The following is a 24328-nucleotide window of genomic DNA, read 5'->3' as shown; positions in this document are numbered from 1 at the left end:
GTGCTAGGGGATCTTCTGATGAGTCCTACAACAACTCCATGAGTTAGATACCATTATCCTTTCCATTTTAGATGAGGAAACTGTGGCTAAAAACAGTTAAGAATCTGCCTGAGGCCATGCAGTAATTTATGGATGGAGCTGGAACAAAAGCCGATCTCCTATTCCTCAGGCTCAGGCATTTTTCAATGGCATCTTCTGACTCACCTGGTAGAGCAACCCACTCTGTTCCAGGAATGCCCACTTCCCAGGCCTTTCCTCTCATGAGTCCTCACTTACATCCAAGCCTAATCCCTCTGCAGGGCTGAGCTTATGGCTGCGCCCTCCAGAGCGTTCCCTGTTCTTTCTCAATTTCTTTTTTGTTTTTTTGTTTGTTTTTGAGATGGAGTCTCGCTCTGTCGCCCAGGCTGGAGTGCAATGGCGCAATCTCGGCTCACGCAACCTCTACCTCCCCAGTTCAAGCTATTCTCCTGCCTCAGCCTCCCGAGTAGCTGGGATTACAGGCATGTGCCACCATGCTCGGCTAATTTTGTATTTTTATTAGAGACAGGGTTTCTCCATGTTGGTCAGGCTGGTCTTGAACTCCCGACCTCAGGTGATCTGCTGGCCTTGGACTCCCAAAATGCTGGGATAACAGTCATGAGCCACCCTGCCTGGCCTTCTGTCTCAATTTCTACCTTATGGTGTTGGTTAATACATATGTCAGTCCTTTTTTCATGCCTTCGAGATCACAAAAGCCTTCATGAGAGGAGATAAAGCAGGGCAAGGCCAAGATTAAAGGGTAAAGTTCATTTGGGCAAAAGACACAAGGAGGAAGAAGCAGAGATGTGGGAACAGGCAAGCTGACGGCTGGGTTTGGGGAGGTGGAAGTATAGCTGGGAAGCACTGAGAAAATCCTACTGGCTGCATTGGAAGGAAGGAAAGAATGAGAAGCCAGTATTGTTGAAACAGACCTGGCTCCGAGCTAGGCATTTTATGTGTGCACTGGGGCCCCAGATATCTTTGCAGGTCATACCTCACTGGTCTAGGCCTGCCTGGAGCCACAGGCATGAAGGACTGGGGAACCTTCTAGAAAAGCCAAACAACATAGGTAGGGCATGCTGGACCAGAGAACAATGCCTCAGGGTCAAATGTGAAGAATGAATGAATGAGTCGACTGAGTGTCTACTGCTGGGAATCATCCCTGGTCAGTCCCCACTGGCATCTTGAGTAGATATGGTGGGGCGAGATAGGGTTAGGAGAGAATAAGTAAAAATTGAAATTAGTCTGGGTGCAGTGGCTCAGGCCTGTAATCCCAGCACTTTGGGAGACTGAGGTAGGAGGATCGCTTGAGGCCAGGAGTTTGAGACCATCCTGGGCAACATGGCAAGACCCTGACTGCAAAAAATAATTTTTTAAAAATAGCCAAACATGGTGGTGGTTGCCTGCAGTTCCAGCTACTTGCGAGGCTGAGGCAGGAGGATGGCTTGAGCTCAGGAGTTCGGGGCTACAGTGAGCTATGATTACACCATTGCACTCCACTCTGAGTGACAGAGCAACCCTGTCCCTATAAAGCAAAACAAAGCTTTATGGATGGAGAATTTCCAAAGGCCCTTATTAGAGGTTGGGGTCCTGTCTCCAAAAAAACCTGAAAGTGCCTTCTCTAAGACCTCTCTGAGCTACCTCTCTGGGGCCCTCCTTGGAGTAGGGCACCTTGAGGAGAGGGGTGCCCTTGTCCCTTATGTGGAGACATCTCCACCTTTGGCATTCGTAGCAATGCCCAGAAGGGCTCAGCTGAAATAGTAGTGTGTTGAGTCCATATCCATGGGGCACTCAAGGCAGGCAGCTGTTTGCCTGGCAGCCTGGGACAGTTTGTGGGCTCATGAGAGACACCTCTGATGTCTCCCCAAAATATCTGAATCTGTCCAGTTCTTCTGTAAGTAGGGTCTTATAAGTACCAGTGAAACTGGGCACTTACAACTTGTGAGAGAGCTTCTGTTCCCACAGGCTGTCAAGGCCTTGGAATTTGAGTTTGATTTTCACAAACACCCTGCATGAAGTAACTTTATTTCTCTTTGTCAGATAAGGACACAGAGGCCAAGAGATAATGTGACTCACCCAAGGTCACAGCCCCTTAATGGAGCAGCTGGGATTTGACCCCAGGAAGCCTGGGTCCAGAGCTTAGCCTCCTTCCAATGCCTTTAGCACCATCAGGAAGAGTTGCTTCATTTCACTGCTTTTTTGCTATGAGACAGTGTCACAGGAAAGAATTTCCAAAGGCCCTTACTGAGGCGGGGGTTCTTTCTCCATCTTCCCTGGCACTCCAGTGGGGTCTGTGTTGTCCGTGGCCTTGTTGGGATGGGATGCTTTGCAGATGACAGTCCCATGGCTGCTCGCCTCTGGAAAGCTGCCTACTTGTCTTGCTTTGCTGTGCCCTGCCCTGGCCTCTCTGGGCCTGTGGATATTGCTATGGAAGGGGGTCCCCCGCCCCTACCCTCAGGACTGAGTGATTCAGAAAGCAATAAGCCTCTGAGTGCTGCGGCTGGGACTCCCCTCCCTAATCCCCAGTCTGTCCATGTTTATCCGATGGCCTCAGGAGGGGGTGTAAGGGGCTGGCGAGCAAGTGGGCAGCTGCTGAGCTTGCTGGGCCGGTGGGACGGAGCGGTCCAGGGACAGGCCCCTGCCTGGGCCAGAGAGGAGCCAGGAGCCATGAGGGTGGCATTAGGCATGCTCTGGCTCTTGGCCCTTGCGTGGCCCCCCCAGGCCCGGGGCTTCTGCCCCTCTCAATGCAGCTGCAGCCTCCATATCATGGGTGATGGCAGCAAGGCCAGGTATGGTACCGGGTGCGTGGGACGGGCAGCCCAGCCTCCATTGCTTTGCCAGCTAGGCTGGGTTGGGAGGAGTTGGAGCTGGGGCCCTGGGTGAGGTCTTCATCTCCCTTGGCCCTTGAGGACCAGGGATCCTATGGGGTGGACTGTGCTGCATTGTTTTCCAGCAGGCAAGGGGGTGACTCTATTCGAGAGGTACCAGGTATCTATACACATGGGCCCGAGGGTGAGGCACAAGTATGTCAGTTCTAAGAAGTCCTTCCTAAGTCCTCCTCCAGGCTCCTGGTGAAGAGCCCTCCTTAAAGGTCCAGGAAATCTCCTCCCTTACTGCTTTTTCTTCTCTTTTATTTTTTCTATTCCCTCTTCTTTTCTATATTTCCCCAGCCCCTTCTTTCCCAGGCCACTTGCACTCTCTTGCCTGACCTCTCTACAATATTCAATCATATCCCAGGCATTTCCTACAACCCCACCCATGATGGGACCACTTGCCTCTCATTCTCTTCCTCCTCTCCATCTTCGCTGGCCAGATCCCAGGAGCCTCAGCCTCAATACCTTTTTATGAGTGCTCCAAAAGCCAGGAGTGCCCATCCCATGACAAGCATGCTTCCTTCCATCCCCAGCCTTTTCCTTGACTTTCCCCACCCTCTGTCTGATCCCTCAGAGCACCTCCATTCTCTCCTCCTCTCCTTTCATGGGACATTCCCATGCCACTGTGGCTTGTGGACCCTTGCTCTTCCACTACTGCTCATTTTCTTCTTTTCTTTAGCAACGTTTAAATCATCTTTTCTCCAACTTCTTTAGCTTATCCATTAATGACCTCTGCATGGTTTCTGAGCCACTGATGGTTTCTGATCCTGGGAACAATGTTATTGGAGCTACCCTTTTAATAATCTTGGCAATGAATGTCGAGTTGATTGGGGGATGAGAGGAGAATGGAGAAGAACCACTAAGAAAAGACACCTCAAATGATCTGAGAACCAGAATGAGCTCCACTGTAGCCCAAGTGTCCAAGGCATCAACTCATATGAAGTGTAAGGGTCCTGTCCCCAGTAGAAGCCAGGCTGAGCCCTGAACAGCCTGCTGTTCCCAGCCTGGGCAGTGTCACTGGAGTGACAAAAAGCCTCCCACCACCCGTAGAAGGCATAGGGCTGAAAGCCACACAGCATCATTGACAAAACCGGTCCTGGAACCCAGGCATTCCGATTCAGTTTTCAGAACACTTATCTGGTGATGCTGCCATGGGCAGGGACCAGTGGTAAGTTCCAGGCAGCAGAGTTAATCTTAAGATGGAAAATGAGTTTCTAGGGCCGCTAATGTAAGTCAGTGGGCATTCCCTTCTCTGAAGCCAGAGCTCTTGGTTCTACCCGCCTGACTATCCCATGGCTAACATGCACCAGCCCATCTGCATGGAGGGTCCTATGAGGCCATGAAAGGTGGTAGCGGGCCCTGAGGTCCCCTGTGGCTATGGGCACAGACTGTGCAGTTAGACCAAAGCTCGTTCTGCATGTCAGAAGCCTTCCTCAGATCCCTCTCTAACCTGGGCCTCTCAGAGAGCCCAGCCTTTATGTCTGAGCTGTTGTATCGTGAAGTGTGTGCCTGTGGGCACTGGGGTTGCCTGGGAGGAGCTGGGCTATGCATCTGAATGGATTTGTGCCCATGCTGTTTGTCCCAGTTTGCCTCTGGTTTTACCCCACCCGGAGTTGTGCTGGAGGTTTGAGCTGTGGTGTAGGCTTGCATTGAGTTCTTATGGTTTCCTTTAAATGCCCCTTTTACCGTTTTCTCTCCCGTTCAAGATAAGTTTTCCAATCACCTGTCTTTCTCTCACCTACATCCAGACCTTCCTCCTTGCAATACCCAAACCTGTATTACTTTTTTTGAGACAGGGTCTTGCTCTGTCACCCAGGCTGGAGTGCAGTGGCACAATCATAGCTCACTGTAGCTTCCAACTCCTAGGCTCAAGCCACCTTCCCACCTCAGCCTTCTGAGTAGCTGGGACTACAAGCATGAGCTATCACACCTGCCCGAACCTATTGTAGTATCTGGAAATATCATTGCTGTAAATGCTCTTTCTTCCTGAGCTAGATTACACACTGTATGGAGACAGGGGCTATGAGGCTGATTCTCTTCTGAATTGCTCATCACTTAGTAAGAGTTCCATGTATATTTGCTCAAAAGGAGTGAGTAAGAATATCCGTGCTGTTTGTGGACACTGTTTACAAGAAAAAACAAGCCCAGCCCAGCTGCCTTTAAGTGGAGCATAGACTTATGCTGAGGGATGCTGGTGATATGTGTGTGCACCTCCAGGAAAGCCTGATATCACCAGTAGGTTATGCTATTACAAGAGAACAACCTCCCTTAGAAGGGCCTGTTCAGTGGCTGGGGGGCTTAGGATTTTGTTTTCAGTTTACGTAGTATAAAACATAGCCCTGAAATGTAGGCTTCTTGAGGGCAGGGACTGCCTCCTATTATCTCTCTATCCTCTGCTTTAGTCTCAAACTTAATGGAATAAGGTTTAAGAAGTCGTGGTTTGGGTAGAAGAGCTGATAAGACTGACCCGATCTACTTGCAGTGCTGAGATGCAAACATTGATGACAGTGATCCATACCCTTGGGCTCATGCAGGGTGGCAGGCAATGTGCTGGGCTTCCACATGCATTACCTCATTTAAACCCCATAACCACCTTGTGGGGTCTATTTGATGGCAAAACTGAGGAAAAGAGAGGTTACCTAATGTACTCAAGGACACACAGCCAGCAAGCAAAGAGCCCAGGTGTGAATCCAGCTGTGGGGCTGCCAAGTCCTGGCTCTTAAACAACTTGATCATCGATCGCATGGCTCCGCAGAGGTGGGAGAGACTTGAGGTGGTTTCATTTTTGATGTCCTTGGTATATTTTTTGTTAAACGATAAACCAAAACAGTTACAAAAATTGAGGTATAATTTAACAAACGAACACTTTTTTTTTTTTTTTGAGACAGTCTTGCTGTGTCACCCAGGCTGGAGTGCAGTGGGGTGATCTCGGCTCACTGCAACCTCTGCCTCCCAGGTTCAAGCGATTGTCCCGCCTCAGCCTCCCGAGTAGCTGGGACTACAGGGGTGCACCACAATGCCTGGCTAATTTTTGTATTTTTTAGTAGAGACAAGGTTTCACCATGTTGGCCAGGCTAATCTTGAACTCCTGACCTCAGGTGATCCACCCGCCTCCACCTCCCAAAGTGCTGGGATTACAGGCGTGAGCCACTGTGCCCGGCCAAACGAACACTTCTAACGCATATTTGCAAAGCAACAGTGCACAACGCGATCATGGGGTTTATTAATGCTGTTCATTCTTAGTGCACTGTGGGTGCTGCGGGCTGTTATGGGTCGTAACAGTGTAAGGGTGGGGTCTTGCCGGACCGTGAAGACCAAATCACCTTCCTGGGACCATTGTGAAAGGCTCTGAGAGCAAGACCTCTGCAAAGGGAAAAGTAGGTCTGCTTACTCCGGGCCCCTCTCCAGGTCCCCGTCATGGCTTGGACTCTGGTGTGGGTGTCCGGTGATAACAGGCAGAACTGGAGGCCTCGCGAAGGGAGGTAGCGGTGGGAGATCCCAGACCCGGCAGGATCCTTGCTCAACTATCCCTCATTTCTGCCAGCAGGACAGTAGTGTGCAACGACCCCGACATGACCCTGCCCCCGGCGTCCATCCCCCCGGACACCTCCAGACTGCGCCTGGAGCGGACGGCCATACGCAGGGTTCCTGGCGAGGCCTTCAGGCCCCTGGGCCGCCTGGAGCAGCTGTGGCTGCCTTACAACGCCCTCAGCGAGCTCAACGCCCTCATGCTGCGGGGCCTGCGACGCCTGCGGGAGCTGCGGCTGCCCGGGAACCGCCTGGCCGCCTTCCCCTGGGCGGCGCTCAGGGACGCCCCCAAGCTGCGGCTGCTGGACCTGCAGGCCAACCGCCTCTCGGCTGTGCCCGCTGAGGCCGCGCGCTTCCTGGAGAACCTCACCTTCCTCGACCTCTCCAGCAACCAGCTGATGAGGCTCCCGCAGGAGCTCATCGTCTCCTGGGCTCACCTGGAGACCGGTATCTTTCCTCCCGGCCACCACCCCAGGCGGGTCCTAGGTAAGGGTCGGCAACCTTCACCTGGGGTCTTAGGCAAGTTACCACGCTTCCCTGAGTTTCGATTATTTGGAAAATTGAAATCATACCTTCCTTCCAGGTTTGAGCAAAGACAGTGAGATCCACAAGAGCGGCGGGTTTAGGAGCTCAATCCACAAGCCAGACTGTGGCAGTTCATATCGCAGTCATAAGAGAGGTCTTTCCAGGTCATACAACCAGGAGAAGGCCCCTGAGACTCAATTTCCCAACTCAGAGCTGAATGGGTTAGTACACTACACCAGCTGGACCTGCTATTTTTTCGGTTCCTTCCTGTTCTTAACAAACCAACAGCTTACCATGTGAACCAGATCTTTCCTGCCCAAGGCACCTGCCTGGTCCTGAGAATGACAGAAGGGGCATAATTCATTCTGGAAAATTGATTTGAATTATACAACTCATACATGAATAAATACAAATGTTTAAAATATTGCAGAAGAGGTTAAAGACCCTTCTGTCCTCTCTCCCTATTCCAACCCCTTCCCAAAAGTAGTTACTATTATCATATTTATATGCAAGCTCCCTATCTGTTCAGATACATTTCATATGCATATGTATATACATATACACACATACATACATGGATTCAGAAAAGTTATGTGTATGTTTTACATAAAATTTTGTCATACATACTAACCAACGCTAACTTTTTGACCCAACACTATATCTCGTAGATCTTTCTAAATTACTACAAATGGATCAAGTTTATTTTTAAAACTACTGCACAATATTCTATAGTATACTATATCTGCACTATGTTATAAACATATTTATACTATAGTTTATTTAGCCATTCCCCCTTTAATGGACTTTTACATTGTTTCCATTATTTGGTAACACCTATGATGCAACAGAGAACATTCTTGGCAATACATTCCTTTTTTTTTTTTTGAGACGGAGTCTTGCTCTGTCGCCCAGGATGGAGTCCAGTGGCACGACCTCGGCTCACTGCAAGCTCTGCCTCCCGGGTTCACACCATTCTCCTGCCTCAGCCTCCCGAGTAGCTGGGACTACAGGCGCCTGCCACCACGCCTGGCTAATTTTTTGTATATTTAGTAGAGACGGGGTTTCACCATGTTAGCCAGGATGGTCTCGATCTCCTGACCTCGTGATCCACCCACCTCGGCCTCCCAAAGTGCTGGGATTACAGGTGTGAGCCACCGCACCCGGCCGGCAATACGTTCTTGTGCACATCAATGTTTCTCTAGGATAGGAACTGAGAAGTGGAGTTATCAGGTCACAGAGTGTGCATATTAGACATTTAAAAACCCATCTGGGCCGGGTACGGGGGCTCACACCTGTAACCCCAGCACTTTGGGAGGCCGAGACGGGTGGATCACTTGCAGTCAGGAGTTTGAGACCAGTCTGGCCAATATGGTGAAACTCTGTCTCTACTAAAAATACAAAAATTAGCTGGATGTGGTGGTGGGCACCTGTAATCCCACTTACTTGGGCGGCTGAGGCAGGAGAATCACTTGAACCCAGAAGGCGGAGGTTGCAGTGAGCCAAGGTTGCTCCACTGCACTCCAGCCTGGGCAATGAGTGAGACTCCATATTTTTGAATGCCTTCCAATTCTAGGTGCTGGGAATACAGCAGAGAACAAAAGAGGTGAAAACGTATACACTCATGGAACTAACAATTAAAATGGCCAAAATGTTTAACTTTTGTCAGTCTGGCAAGTGAAAGTTTCACTGTTGTTTAACTTTGCCTTTTACATTCATTCTTTCTGGCCCTATTGTGATAAAACGAAAGCCAGGTAGCTCACCACTGGAGCCAGGCATTGATGAATCTTGGGTTGCAGATGTATCATTAAGTGCGTTTAACCAATGACACAAGGCAGCAACCACTGGTGAGATGGGGTGAGGGGGAGGTGGGAAAAGGAACTGGCACCCGTGGGTTGTGCTCAAAGAGACCTGAGAGACATGAATATACAATCAGATCTGAATGCACCCACCCCAACCCTGTGATGCACGTATTAAATATATCTGTGTGAATGTATAAGATATCATTGATTATTAGATATACTATTAAATTCAATAAGTCTTTGGGGACTAAAAGAACATCATATCAAGTGTATTTATCTTGCATTTCAGTAATGCAACCCTATAAGAAGGAATTGTGCCTTAGAATTGAGGACACATAGTACCCCTCATTTATATGCACATGGTACCCCTCCATCTCTATAATGTTCTTTGACAGAGTGGGTACAGTGATCTGCTTTCAGCTCTGTAAGAATGTTCAATTTTAGAGTAAAGACAGTAGGGGATATAGCCTAGGATTTGATTTTCTGGCCCTGTCACCCTGCTGTTTACGCCCATTTAAGCCTATGTCAAAGGGACCATGGCTCAGAGCAGCCACCTTCATTGCCGGGATGATGCTGAAAATACCATTTATACTGGGAGAACTGGCATCAAGGATCAGGGGTCAGTGATGCATTTCTGGAAATGGATTTTGTCATATTGCAATTATTGTGGAAATACTGCCTGGCCAGTGGCCTGAAAGGATCAGTCCAAGAATGGCAACAGTAATTGCCGGTTTTGTCAGTATGCTGTATATCTACCCGGTACTTAATATGATTTATTTCTGATTATGCTTAAAGCAACCCTGAAAAGAAAGTAATGCTACTATTTAACACAGAAAAATCAAATTTCAGGTCATACTACTAGCAAGGCAAGGAGCTGGGTCCAGAGGCCAGTTCTGCTGACTCTGAATGAGGACCTGCCTGTCCTTCCAGAGGGGAAGGGGTGCTGGGCCTGAGGACGTTGAGTATCTATCTGAATATCTTGTCTTCTTTTTTACTCCTGCAGGGCTACAGGACAACCCCTGGGCATGTGACTGCCGACTCTATGACCTGGTTCATCTTTTGGATGGCTGGGCCCCAAACTTGGCCTTCATTGAGACTGAACTGAGATGTGCCAGCCCACGTAGCCTGGCCGGAGTGGCCTTCAGCCAGCTTGAACTGAGGAAGTGCCAGGGCCCAGAGCTCCATCCAGGAGTGGCCAGCATCAGGTCCCTTTTGGGTGGCACAGCACTGCTACGCTGTGGAGCTACTGGAGTCCCTGGGCCCGAGATGAGCTGGAGGAGGGCCAATGGCAGGCCCCTTAATGGTACAGGTATGTGAGCTACAGGGATGCTGCACTGAGAACCTAGACTGGGGAGGGCAAAGCAGCTCCCCAAATGGGGATTTGGCAGGGCCAGAGGGAAGTTGTCTAAGCAAAGCTGGGCTTCCACCTGTCTGAGTTGAGTTTGACAGGGGCTTCCCAGAGGTGAGGCAAATCACTGTGACAACAGATTCAACAATGACAGTGGCTCTTGACCTGTCCTATCATATCCCACCAGACACTCTATAGAGACTTGGGGCCCACCCTGAGAGAACAAAAAGCTGACTTTTTGGTGGAAGACCCTCTTTTAGTGTGTTAATATTTATAATAAATTTCCCAGTTGTAAATATTAAACCAGAATTACCTGGAGTAATTAATGATGTGAGCTACCATCTATCGAGCTCTTCATGTGGGTCTAGCACAGTGCTAAGTGTATTATGCACATAATGACATTGAACTTCAAAGAGCAACCCAATTTTCCTTCTTATTTTGCATATAAGTAAGCTGAGGCTCTGAGAGGCTAAATGCTACATTACACAGCTCATACATGGAGGAGCTGGGGTTCCAGCACAATCTAGCTGATCACCTTTGCAAAATTCCAGGGCCCTTAAGAACATAGTGGGTTGGCTGGGGGCTCACACCCAATCCTAGCACTTTGGGAGGCTGAGGCAGGAGGATTGCTGGAGTCTAGGAGTTACCAGCATGGGCACCATAGTGAGACCTTGTCGCAAAAAAAAATATATATATATATTCCTAGGCTTGGTGGCATGTGCCTGTGGTCCCAGCTACTCAGGAGCTGAGGTGGGAGGATCACTTGAGCCTGGGAGTTCCAGGCTGGAGTAAGCCATGGTCACACCGCTGCACTCCAGCCTGGGTGACAGAGCAAGACACTGTCTGAAAAAAGCAAACAATAACAAAAAAACCCATAGTGTGAACTTGTCAGATTTAGAAGGCATCATTCTTAGGCTCTGCCTCAGCCTGGGGCTCCAGAGGCTCACCACATTTGAGTCCAAGGTAATGTTGATACCCTTGGCTGGTCTAAGAAACACTGAGTGACTGCCAGTGTTTTCTTACGATGACACCTGAGTGTGTACCACCTGGGGCTGTGAACTTGGCCCTGAAAGGCAGCTTGGGGCAGATGGGCCCATTCGTTCTCCCACACATGCCTGTTTTCCTCCTAGTGCACCAGGAAGTCTCCAGTGACGGCACGAGCTGGACTCTGCTGGGCCTGCCTGCAGTGTCCCACCTTGACTCCGGAGACTACATCTGCCAAGCCAAGAACTTCCTGGGAGCCTCTGAAACTGTTATCTCCTTGATTGTCACTGAGCCACCGACTTCCACAGAACACAGTGGGAGCCCAGGAGCACTATGGGCAAGGACAGGTGGCGGAGGGGAAGCTGCTGCTTACAACAACAAGCTGGTGGCCAGGCATGTCCCCCAGATTCCCAAACCCGCTGTCCTGGCCACTGGACCCTCTGTGCCCAGCACAAAGGAGGAGCTGACCCTTGAGCACTTCCAGATGGATGCCCTGGGAGAGCTCTCTGATGGGCGGGCAGGACCCTCAGAGGCACGAATGGTGAGGTCTGTGAAGGTGGTGGGGGACACTTACCACAGCGTGTCCTTGGTGTGGAAGGCACCCCAGGCTAAGAACACAACTGCCTTCAGTGTCCTCTACGCGGTCTTTGGGCAGCACAGCATGCGGCGGGTGATTGTGCAGCCTGGGAAGACCAGAGTGACCATCACTGGGCTGTTGCCCAAGACCAAGTATGTGGCGTGTGTCTGTGTGCAGGGCCTGGTGCCCCGGAAGGAGCAGTGTGTTATTTTCTCCACCAATGAAGTGGTGGATGCTGAGAACACTCAGCAGCTTATCAATGTGGTGGTGATCAGTGTGGCCATCGTCATTGCCCTGCCTCTCACGCTGCTTGTCTGCTGCAGTGCTCTTCAGAAGCGCTGCCGAAAGTGCTTCAACAAGGACTCCACTGAGGCCACAGTTACCTACGTCAACCTAGAGAGACTGGGCTACAGCGAGGACGGCTTGGAGGAGCTGTCCCGGCACAGTGTCAGCGAGGCTGACAGGCTTCTCTCAGCTCGTTCCAGTGTGGACTTTCAGGCCTTTGGAGTCAAAGGGGGCAGGAGAATCAATGAGTACTTCTGCTGAGGGATATGCCTCCGCAACTCACACACCTGCCTGCCCACGCTCCTTCTTTAGCTCTGACACCTGAGTACACGATCACCCACTCTTACCTGCTCGGGTACCTGCTTACTCAGATACTTACACACAACAACAGCAGCAGCAGCTGCTACTGCAACAACCGCTAACACTTGTTAAGCACTTACTACAGACTAGAAAGTGTTCTAAGTGCTAAATTCTTGTAACAATCATTTGCAGCAGGCATCACTATTCTCTCCATTTCCCTGGGGTGGGGGGTTAAGAAACTTGCCTGTATCAGTCAGCTTTTGCTGTATAACAAATGAAAGCAAAATCTTGGTGATGTATAGCAGTGAACACTTATTTTCACACTCACAGGCCTGTGGGTTGATTAGGGTGGCTCTGCTCTGTGTGTTTCATTTGGAGCCTGGGCTGGAGAGTAGCAGTGGGTACCTGGGGCAGGTTTCTCTCGTGGTGAGGTTGAATGATAATAGAGGAATGATTGTTCATGCAATGCCTGTTATGTTCTTAGTTCAGAACTGGTATACTGCCACTTCTGTCCATATTCTATCTGCCAAAGCAAGTCTCATGGCCAAACCCAAGTTTGATGGGGCAAGTAAGGACACTTCTCCCCTGGAGGTGATGGTAGAGCAAGGAATATGTGCTGAACAGTGATTTAATCTGCATTGCCCAGGATTACACAGCTAGGCAAATTTAGATGGCTCTGAGATTTGGACCACACAGTTGGGATCCACGGTTAAAAGTCCTTACCATCCTCCTATACTGCACCTTGATTACATTTATGCTAATTCATAGGCACTCACACACACCATCTCTCTATGCATTAGCCATATTGGTAGTTACCCATCCTCACTAACACACACACTACACTCATAACCCACTGTGCCCTCAGTGAATTCTAATATTTATTCTCTGGGTGCTATTCTGCCTAGAGACAATCATTTGATTTTTCGATAAATGCTAGAGTTTGAGACAATGCCCAAGAGAACATTGCTCATTTGCTTTCAGAATGTCAGGCTGGAGGGATCCAAGAGACCTCATTACACTCTGTGCTGTCTGGCACATTCACCTCTGTCCCATGCAGCAGCCTTTGTGATTCTTACCAAAACCTACCTGGGTTCTTGAGGGTGTCTCGGAGCCTTCCTGGTTGCTCATCAAGTTACTTCAAAGGAAAATTGCTGTTTGCTTTTTCTTGGAGCTAGGAAACCACTGAGATGTTGTCTCTGTGCACTGGGGAAAGTGAATGTTCCCAGCAGAAGGCTCAATTTGTTCCTTATTTATAAAGCCGATCTCTGGCATGAGGAGCATCCAGGGTACCTGTGCCAAGTCCTTTGGGTAACAACTGAAGAAATTTTGGGACAGCAAGTGATCCAAGAAAATTGTTTTGCTAGTATTATGCAAGAGACTCCAAGTATTTGTAAGTATTATGTCATGTGATTTATTAGACATAAGCCAGTGTGATGCAGTGCTTCTTACTCCCCTCACATTTACAAAAGACCTTACAACATATTTCACTCAGTTTTCTCACATTTGATATTCATGACAACCCACTATGGAGGCTGGGCTGTTTGATTTTACAGAAGAAGACCAAAGAGGTGAATGATTTATACAAGGAAGTGATGAATTCTCTTTCAGAATCTAGTTCTTTGACAACTTTCTCATCAGGCTGATGGTCTTTATTCAGTATCCATCCCTGCAATGTGGTCTACAGAAGGTTCACTATAGAAATCAACTTTTTAAAAATCACTGAAACCTGGGATCAGAACCATGAGAGCACCCATGCACATGAGCATGGAATTTCCATTCTTGGATATCTTCTGCCACCACCTGGAGGGTGCACCTGACTATAACTTGTGGACCATAGACATTGGTAAGAGAGGCTGTTTTGTTGTAAGATGACAAAGACACTGTGTACATTGGGAGCCAGCAAACTTTTTTCCTGTAAAGAAAGGCAAATAGTAAATATTTTAGGCTCTGTTGCTACTACTTAACTCTGCTGATGGGATGCAAAAGCAGCCATAGACAATATGTAAATTAGTGGGTATGGATGTCTTCCAATAAGACACTTTTTACAAAAACAGGTGACAGGCTGGGTTTGACCCTGAGATTGTAGTTTGTTTACCCCTTATGAAAATTTAGAAAGATATTTCTGGTGAGTTTTGGAGACCCAAGACTCAATTCTGACTCTTTGATAAATGAGAGTGATAGACACCCCCAAAATTAGGACAAATGTAAATGCAGTAGATGAAAGCAGTCATCTGTTGAAGTGATCAGGATGTTGCCTTTAAATGATGGTCTGAACCAATCATGATGGGACAGTTATTGACCTAAAGACAAGTAACATTTAGCCAGTTTTATTGAGTCTTGTTTGAAGAAAAATCAGGAACTTAAAAGCAAGAAATCTGTAGTATTTATCTGATGTTAACAGAGACAGAAAGAGAGAGAGAGAATTCAATCTTGCCAATGATCCAATGGTTTATTGGGACCTATTTTCATGGTCTGGATGGAAAGGCCTCTGATATGGTTTGACTGTGTCCCCACCCAAATCTCACCTTGAATTGTAATAACCCCCATGAATCAAGGGTGGGGCCAGGTGGAGATCATTGAATCACGGGGGCAGTTTCCCCCATACTGTTCTCGTGGTAATGAATAAGTCGCATGAGATTTGATGGTTTTATAAATGGAAGTACCCCTGCACAAATCCTTTTGCCTGATGTCATGTAAGACATGCCTTCGCTCCTCCTTGCCTTCTGCCATGATTGTGAGGTCTGCCCAGCCATGTGGAACTGTGAGTCCACTAAACCTCTTTTTCTTTATAAATTACCCAGTCTTGGGTATGTGTTTACCAGCAGTGTGAAAATGGACTAATACAGCCTCCAAGATGATAAGCCTCCCAAAACTCATCTGTCAACCTTCCTTTGTGTATCCTGTCTTCCCTGGTTTGCCCTTGTAGAGAAGAATCATCCTGGATTACGCTCATGAATATTCAAGTCATGGGAAGAAACACATTCTTATTGTAAAAAATAAAATGATGTCTGGCTTACCTTAGTCTTTTAGTATGTGAGTCTGATGAGTATGAGTTAGTCCCTGAAAATTGAATGCCCTCTGAGTATCCTGGCAAAAGAATTTCTGGCCTTCCAATGCTGAAGACCAATTTGGGCCATGGCGAGGCTGCAGCATAGCTGGCCTTGGAAGCCTGGTTTGTAGGTTGGTTGGAATCATAGCATCTTCATGATGTCTTTTGATGACTGCAACATGGTTTTATTCCTCATGATTAAGCAGAGAATATGTCCAAGGTCACTTGCCCATTGAAGTTGCTGGGTACAAAAAGGCAAATACAGAAATTGTGCTCTGGAAAGTGGATGTGGGCTATCAAACCTAGGCTATCAATCGAGGGATTCAGTGAGCAGTTTGTCTAGAGGACAAGAGCTGGAAATTTTTGTCTTAATTATCATATAATCTAACAAAGGCAAAAATCAACATACAAGTACCTGAGCATATTTATTCACAAGGGCATTGTAGTTAGGATAGGTTAGATTTATGCTTAGGCAACCATTCCCAAATTTCCATGGCTTAACACGGAAAAATGTATTCCTGTTCCACAGACTCTACTTAAGTTTGGGAAATACAGAAGGAGGGAGGGCTCTGCTTCACTAATTTACTCAAGGACATGGCTGGGAAGACTCCACCATTTGGAATGTCAGTGGTTGCCACAACAAGGAAAAAGATAAATTGGAAGATCATGTTAGGGCTTTTCAAACCTCATTTCTTGTAACATTTCATTAGCTAGATCAAGAGTCTTGTAGCCCACCTATTTCAAGGAGGCTTGGAAAGGTCTTTTGTGTCTCTGCCACAGGCATACCTAAGAGCGTGGGTAGCTGAGGCAGCATCTCAGACATGCTGGCAGCAGACGATGGGGGTGGGAAAGAGTCCTAGCTTCAGAGAAACGGAGTACAGCGTGTCTGCTCCCTGATAGGATGCCCTGTTCTCTGTCTGAGGTAGCCCAGTGTTTTACTAATATTGGGAAGGTGAGTGGCATTTTCCAATTGAATAGATAGGACACTCTCCTATTAAGATTCTATTAAGACAAGCCAGGGAGCTGCCTCCCTGCAGCCATTTATATCTAAGCATTTCACAAACACAGAGTAATTCCTCCCCCATGACTCTGTCTCTATGGAGAATTTTAAGACCCTAGTTCTGAAAAGCATCCTGCAAGAGGGAAGATGGGTTGTAATATTTCCAGACCCTCTTGCCATTGTTGTTAGGGTCTCTTGAGTTTAGGGACTACACTGAACCACAGGTTGTTTAACATAAATAACTTGACCCATGCTAACTTCAATTATCCTGGTCTCCTGCCTCAATTTCCAAGAGAGCCACTCCCTCTGTTCATATGCCAAATAAGGAAACCAGAGAATGAGGGGGTCAGGAAAGGAGTGGGGGGCAGTAGAGAAGTGGCCTAGATGATTCTAGAGATAGCATGCCAGTGGGTGTGCTTCACAAGCTTCCCGCAAACTTCTTGAAAGTTGGATGGAGCTGGATTCATTTGAAAAGGCTGGCATGAGATGGACAGAGAGGAAATTGTGGGGGAATGGAGGACTCTTAAGATCTTTATCCTTTGGGGTAAGGGGAGAGAAAGGAATCCACTAGTGGTTTGGAATAGTCATGAATTAAATCACATATTTCCATGAAACAAGCCTGACAAAGCCTTAGCAAAGCTGGTAGGGGACTCTGGAGTGATAATTGCTCATCAGAGTTTTCCCCCATCAGGGCAAACTGGCCAGGCCCTCACCACCCTCAGTCACTGAATGTGGGATGTGGCTGCTTTGGGAAGGACGTGACCTCATGCAAGCACTCCTTGCAGCTGAGCATCCACTTATACCTTGAAGGGGGATCTAGGAAGCACATAGCCATATGTATGACAAACTTTGTGCCGATAGCTCTCTCTTTGTTTTGGATTTTTACCTTTAGACAAACACAGTGGTCCCCCCAGGTTTTAGAGTTAGACTGTTTGGAAACTCCTGCAAATATTTCTGGCTTGGATGGAAAGCCTGGAGTGTAATCAGCTTAGCTGGTGACCCATTTCCCCCCTCACTGGTTAGCTAAGCGGATTTTCTTTCCTGAGGCCTTTTGTAGGGTACAATGTATATCATGAGTCTTAAAGGAACTCATGGAATTTCAATATTCAACTGGAAGTGCCCTAGTTAATAGAGATGTAGACTTTTCGGATCTTAAAGAGTTTGTCAGTGGGAGGAGGATTAATGGGCACCAACTGTGTGCTAGGTGTTGTATTTAACATAATCTCAAACTTTTCTAAAAATATGGCTGGATGCAATGGCTTGCACCTGTAATCCCAGTTACTTGGGAGGCTGAGAAGTTTGAGACCAGCCTGGGCAACAGAGTGAGACCCTGTCTCTGAAAAAATACAAAAATTAAAAAATAATGAGAAATAAATTCCTGGAAACACTATGAGGTATTTGTTAATATTCTCATGATACAGAAAAGACTCACAGAGATTAAATTACATTCCAAAGATCTCAAGATTCAGAAGCACAAACAAGAGAGAAGACTCCTTGGGACAGGGTCTATAATAGGTTTGCCCTTGACCCTGTTCCTTTCATTGGGCAAGAGTATAGCTTAAAGCAAATGACCAGTAAATATTTGTGGAATAAATGAAGAGTGAAAGAGCAAGCATATAAAATTGTATACATCTCTTTTTAAAATGTAGGTTGCCCATTTTGATGAAGTGAAATGCACAGTATTAAGGAAAGGTTGTGAAGTCCAAGAAAACAATCTTTTGGTTTAATCAGAAAATACCATCTTGTATTTGAAACTGGTGACCCAAGCTGCAGAAGCAGCTGTCTTGATGCAGTAGGAGCATGACTACACCACCCGTGGTGTTGGGAAGAGAACAAATGATAGGAATGAACACAGAATTACTTTGTTACTCATCACCTATTTTCACTTTGAGAAAATGATTGGAAATTCTAGGTTTCAGGAATCAACTGCAAATGATGAAGCATTAGATGGATTCTGGCCACATCCCCTGAACAGTGGTGCTCAGAATAGCACTGCCTGCTTGTTTCTCAGACTTCTGTTTAAGACTCTAAGAAATGTAGAATCTGTATGGAATTGGACATCTGACTTGGAGTTTGCTTTTCAGACTCAAGAATTACACAAATGTTGAATTTCCTGACCCTAGTTAAGAGACATTGATCCCCCTTCGTGTGTTCTGACTGAACTTGTGGTCTGGGCTGTAACAGACCTCAGAGCTCCCATGGGCTTTCCTGCTGCTGTGTGACTTACATCATCATGGATTACCAATAATAGGATTTGCCACTCGGAAGCTGGGGCGATACTTATTCAAAACTCACAACGTATTTTCTTACAGAGAAATATGGCTTCAGTTTTTCATTACTTCCTGTTAGTTCTGGTCTTTCTGGATACACACGCAGCTCAGCCTTTCTGTCTGCCAGGATGCACTTGCTCAGAGGAGAGTTTTGGCAGGTGCGCTCTGCTGGCCAGATGTTAGAGGGTTATGGGGAATGGGTTTTCTTTGGGGATGATGTGGAGTGGAAGCAGGCTTAGAATTGGCAGGAAATCAGCAAAACTCTATGAGACTCATTCTAGTTGGGACTGAACTTTGCTGAACTGTGCATTTTTACCAAAATGAGTCTAACTCTTTTATTTCAATGAATAATAATATTTTTATTCTGATTCACATGTCTAATGCCAGGATCAGCCTGACCCCACTTTTCAGTCCCCTGTTGTTTATCTTAAAGCTGTTCTGGTTTCTTGTACAGGACTCTGCAGTGCACATCTGTCTCCTTGGGAAAGATCCCTGGGAACCTTTCTGAAGAGTTCAAGCAAGTGAGAATTGAAAATTCACCCTTATTTGAGATGCCCCAAGGGTCTTTCATCAACATGAGCACCTTGGAATACCTCTGGCTCAATTTTAACAATATCAGTGTGATCCACCTAGGAGCCCTGGAACACCTGCCAGAACTGAGGGAGCTGAGACTGGAGGGGAACAAGCTCTGCTCAGTACCATGGACAGCGTTCCGTGCCACCCCTCTCCTGAGGGTCTTGGATCTCAAACGCAACAAGATTGATGCACTCCCTGAGCTGGCTCTTCAATTCTTGGTCAGCCTGACCTACCTTGACCTATCCTCCAATAGGCTTACAGTTGTATCCAAGAGTGTCTTCCTGAACTGGCCAGCCTACCAGAAATGCCGGCAGCCTGACTGTGGGGCTGAGATTCTCTCCAGCCTGGTGGTGGCCCTGCATGACAACCCCTGGGTATGTGACTGTCGCCTAAGGGGGCTTGTCCAGTTTGTCAAGTCCATTACCCTCCCAGTCATCCTGGTGAATTCCTACCTGATATGTCAGGGCCCTCTGTCCAAGGCAGGGCAGCTTTTTCATGAAACTGAGCTTAGTGCTTGCATGAAGCCACAGATCTCAACCCCCAGTGCCAATATCACCATCCGGGCAGGACAGAATGTGACCCTGCGATGCTTGGCACAGGCCAGCCCCTCACCATCCATTGCATGGACTTATCCCCTGAGTATGTGGAGAGAATTTGATGGTAAGCCACATGCACCCTCTCAGTGTATCTGGAGGGAATGGAGAGGTCTGTAGCAAACCCATCCTCATTAGAGAGATTCAAAGCTGGGTCAGTCACGAAGGGTGGGTGCAAGTAAGATTGGGATAGCCCTGAATTATGCTCACTAGAACAGAAAAGATTTCAAGGTAGTGTTCCACTATTGGCATTATTTTAAATGTTTGCATACAGATCTCTTTGCATACAGAACATATACACATATATAAACACATATTTCAGGGCTAATTTAATATCTTATGCAAATATTATAAAATTTTATATGAGCAGATATAGTCTTTGGGAATCTTCTAGATGCAAAACACTGGACTATGTATTTTAGAATTCTAGAATTTTTTACTAGGATTGATTTTAGAGATGATCTATTAGTTATTTCCTTAACTTGCCTGAGCAGAATCACCTGGGGTGCTTGTTTGAAATAACACTGACATAAAATTGTTCAGACCTTATTGGCTTGAATTTGTAATACTGGGACCCAGGGAAAGGAAGTGACCTCTGTGGGCCCTGGGGCTGGAATTCAAACCTGCCTCTTCCTTCCTGGAACCCTCTGCTCTGTTTTCATACCTCAGCTGGGATTACCTTTAATGCTACTCTGTAGGGTTGGGCATATCACAAAGCCGGGGATGGCCTCCCTGGGGGTATCCCAAAGCTGAAAAGAAAAATCTTCGTACATTCCTCGTGTCCTGTCTTCTGTTCTCTGTCTAGAAGACAACTAGGAATAGCTGGGTAAAACTTGGGAAATATAGTCATTTGCCCAGGTATTTGTTATACATTATGACAAAACTCTGGATGGTTTAAAAATACCCAATTAACTGAATTTTCACATTCTGTATTGTTTTGATAATACCTTATTGGTTTGGCATTCAATATCAATGAAAGAAAATTATAGGATTTATTGTTGTAGCCTCTTTGAAAACCAAGAAATGCATACAGGTGTTGTCTTTCGTGGTGTTCTATAATCACTGTTTGGCAACGTGTTATATAATCTCTCAGTAAAAATATAAGCATTGAACACTTACTTTCAAACTAATGAGGTAGGTGATTGCTTATCATCCCATTTTATTGACAAGAAAATTGTCAAGAGAATTTAAGCAACTTGCCCAGTACCACACTGGATAGGAGCTCCATTAGGGATAGCAGCCCAGGCATGTGGCTCCAGGCTCTGAGGAACTGTGCATCTGGAAGGTAAGAAGGCACTTCCTGAAGCTCATAATATCGTACAATCACATAGTTGCAAGAACTCTCCTGAAAGCCATGGCTCAGCAAGGCGAAGGTGGTTTGGTGGGTGCAGTTAGTGAAGTTGAAAGAGTATGGTCTTCATAGATTGAAGAGCCAGGTCCCATATCAATTGTTGCTTCTGAACAACTCTCACTACGGGCAAGTTGATGGATTGCTCCAATCCTCAATATCCTATGTGTAAAGATCAGTTATTTATCTTACAGGATTGCTGGGAGGCAAACACCTGACACCAGGTACGAGGTTCATAAGAGGTTACCACCATCTTCTAACAACAACAATAACAAAAAACAAAGCAAAACAAAACAAAACTGGCATTGCTAGACACTTTCCAGCAGTCTATCAGATAAATGCACAGCTGTTTTGTTTTTCTTTCCACCCAGTGTTGACATCTTCTACTGGAGAAGACACTGCTCTGTCAGAGCTGGCCATACCTGCTGCCCACCTGGTAGACAGTGGTAATTACACCTGCATGGCCTCCAACTCCATTGGCAAGAGCAACCTTGTAATCTCTCTCCATGTCCAGCCTGCCCAGGCCCTACATGCACCTGATTCTCTTTCCATCCCCTCGGAGGGCAATGCCTACATTGACCTGCGGGTTGTCAAGCAGACAGTGCATGGGATTTTGCTGGAGTGGCTTGCAGTGGCTGACACCTCTAAGGAGGAGTGGTTCACCCTCTACATTGCATCGGATGAAGCCTTCAGGAAGGAGGTGGTTCACATTGGCCCCGGAATCAATACTTATGCTGTGGATGACCTCCTTCCTGGCACAAAATATGAGGCCTGCCTCAGCCTAGAGGGCCAGCCTCCACACCAGGGCCAGTGTGTAGCTTTTGTAACAGGCAGAGATGCTGGTGGGCTAGAGGCACGTGAGCACCTCCTGCATGTCACAGTGGTCCTGTGTGTGGTGCTGCTTGCAGTGCCTGTGGGCGCCTATGCCTGGGCAGCCCAGGGCCCCTGCAGCTGCAGCAAGTGGGTCCTGCGCGGCTGTCTTCATCGCAGGAAAGCCCCCAGCTGCACCCCTGCAGCCCCGCAGTCCAAGGATGGCTCCTTTAGAGAACATCCAGCTGTCTGTGATGACGGTGAAGGGCACATAGACACTGAGGGGGACAAGGAGAAAGGAGGAACGGAAGACAACAGCTGAACAACCCAGGCCATGGGGTGGAAACGGCTTGGGCTTCAAGCCTCTGAAACCAACCCTCTGCAGCAGCTCCATCCATTTATCCAGCAAGTATATATTGAGCACCCACTGTGTTCCAAGCACTGAACTTGACACAGGGGGTTCAAGAGTAAAAAGGGAAACAGAGTCTTTATCTTCATGATAAAGGGGACATAGTCATTATCTTCGTAAAGTTAAAGTCAATGAAGATTTGTCCATCAAATTAATCATTTTATTATACATGGTGATTAGAAATCACTAAATATTACTCTTTGCATATACTTAGCCTATAACATTTACATGCTTATACGTAATGTCTACGTATAATATTTTACATATATTATCCTGTAAACGAAGGTAGACTTCTACCCACTTTTTATAGGTGAAAAACTGCAGCCTGGACAGTTCAATGATACACCCAGAGTCCACATCTGGCAGGAGGCAGAAGCCCCATTCAAAAGAGGTTCCAGTTCCATCGTTTCCTTGAATGCCTGTTTTGCGGTATTCTTGTGTCTTTCATTGTTTATAAAGTGTGACCCTCTCTCTTCATGACAAACTCCTAATGAGATCACATAAATGTGATGTTCCAAAGAGCTGCCCATCAGGGTGATGAGAGCTGTTGGGTAATGTGAGTCTCTTTTTGTAGGTGTCTGTTCCCCTGTGAGCACAGCCCTTGGTGCTGCTGGGCAGGCTGGAGCCATCAGCACCAAGGAAGAGTAGGGGATTGGCTGCAGCCCTGGGTCTGGCAGAGAGCAGACTCTGCAGGGCCATACCCAGAAGGAAGAGCACCCATACGTCCGCTGCTTTCCCCTAGTCAATGTCTAAAGCCCTCCTATGAAATCCATGAGAGGTGGTCATTTCCTCTTAGCCGGACCCATGTGGAATGGAGGGGCCCCAAGAATCCCAACATCAGCTCATCATCCCACTGAACAGCCCTTCTAGGGGAGACCATTCCCAGGATTTAATTCACATCTGTCTCCCTGCCGTTTCCCTCACTGGCCACATGCAAACCTTTCTAAGAGTGTAAACATGAACTAGACTCATTGTGACATCTCCACACGTTTCCTCCTTCCCACCTTTTTTACCCATTCCTAATCATCCTTTTAGGCCTCTCTCAAGTGTGTACATTACGTCTTCCACAGAGCTTTCCTTGACTTCACACCTCTGGGGAAAAGGACAGTATGCACATTGTGTCCATTGGTTGTGAGACATTTGCAGGCAAAGACTGACCTTCCTCACGGTGGCCACTGCACTCGTCTAATACCTGGATTGTGTTCATAATCAATGTTAGTTAACAATAAATTTTAAAAAATTGAAGATGGCTCTCATTTTCAGACTAATTGTCCGCTCATTTCTTCAGATTCTACTCATTTGTTTTCTTCTGGGCATTAGAAAAAAAAACTCTAAATTAAAAAAAAAATTGGGACAGGGGTCACTATGTTGCCTGGGCTGGTCCCAAACTCCTGGCCTCAAGCTATCCTCCCATCTCAAAGTCTCCCAAGTACTGGGATTACACCTGGCAAAAATAACTTTTAAATGAAAATTTTTAGTCACGCCAAAAGTAGAGAGAATCTCATTCCTCCTCTTCTGTCACCTTCAGCAAGTTTTAACATTTCCCAAGCTTATTTCATCTTGTCCTTGCCCTCAACATTTTTTTTTAACTGGAGTGTTTTAAAACAAATACAAAGCTTCACACCAATTTACCTGTAAATGTTTTAGTTTGAGGTCTAACAGATGAAGTTTTAAAAAACATAAACACAATGTTATTACCACTCCTAAGAGCAGATATTTTAAAATTAGATGGACATATATATATATTTAGATATGCACATGTGTAAAACACACACATACATGTAATGTAGTAGATAATTTATTAATGTGGAATTTCCTATGATAAATTTTTGAAGAAAAGTGGTTGGAGCAAGAAAAGAACTTGTACTTCTTGTGGCCTCTCTGTACTTCCTTCCATAGCATCAAGGGGGATTGATATGGTTTGGCTATGTCCCCGCCCAAATCTCATCTTCAATCTTAGTTTCCATAATCCCCACATGTCATGGGAGGGACCCAATAGGAGGTAATTGAATCATGGGGGTAGTTTCTCCCATGCC

At 46.8% G+C, this 24328-nt stretch overlaps 2 protein-coding genes across 4 annotated transcripts; both read left to right on the top strand.

The window, feature by feature from the left end:
- On the top strand, positions 2579-12605 carry LRIT1 (leucine rich repeat, Ig-like and transmembrane domains 1). Of its 2 annotated transcripts, NM_015613.3 has the most exons (4): positions 2579-2807; positions 6439-6905; positions 9747-10052; positions 11222-12605. In NM_015613.3, the coding sequence occupies exons 1-4, from the start codon at positions 2686-2688 to the stop codon at positions 12196-12198; spliced, it is 1872 nt and encodes a 623-aa protein (NP_056428.1). In that variant the 5' UTR covers positions 2579-2685; the 3' UTR covers positions 12199-12605. The 2 variants fall into 2 exon arrangements, with proteins under 2 accessions (NP_056428.1, XP_011537928.1); XM_011539626.3 differs by lacking the exons at positions 2579-2807; positions 6439-6905 and adding an exon at positions 7001-7165 and having other exon boundaries at positions 11222-12536.
- Positions 12606-18535: 5930 nt separating this feature from the next.
- LRIT2 (leucine rich repeat, Ig-like and transmembrane domains 2) lies at positions 18536-23640 on the top strand. 2 transcript variants are annotated; one of them, NM_001284223.1, is made up of 4 exons: positions 18536-18714; positions 19011-19792; positions 21268-21297; positions 21445-23640. In NM_001284223.1, exons 1-4 carry the CDS (start codon positions 18605-18607, stop codon positions 22203-22205), a joined length of 1683 nt encoding a protein of 560 aa, NP_001271152.1. In that variant the 5' UTR covers positions 18536-18604; the 3' UTR covers positions 22206-23640. The 2 variants fall into 2 exon arrangements, with proteins under 2 accessions (NP_001271152.1, NP_001017924.1); NM_001017924.5 differs by lacking the exon at positions 21268-21297 and having other exon boundaries at positions 18581-18714; positions 21445-23554.

This window comes from Homo sapiens, chromosome 10 (genome assembly GCF_000001405.40).
Source record: "Homo sapiens chromosome 10, GRCh38.p14 Primary Assembly".
Classification (NCBI taxonomy): domain Eukaryota; kingdom Metazoa; phylum Chordata; class Mammalia; order Primates; family Hominidae; genus Homo; species Homo sapiens.
This window is presented reverse-complemented; position numbering and strand designations above follow the sequence as displayed.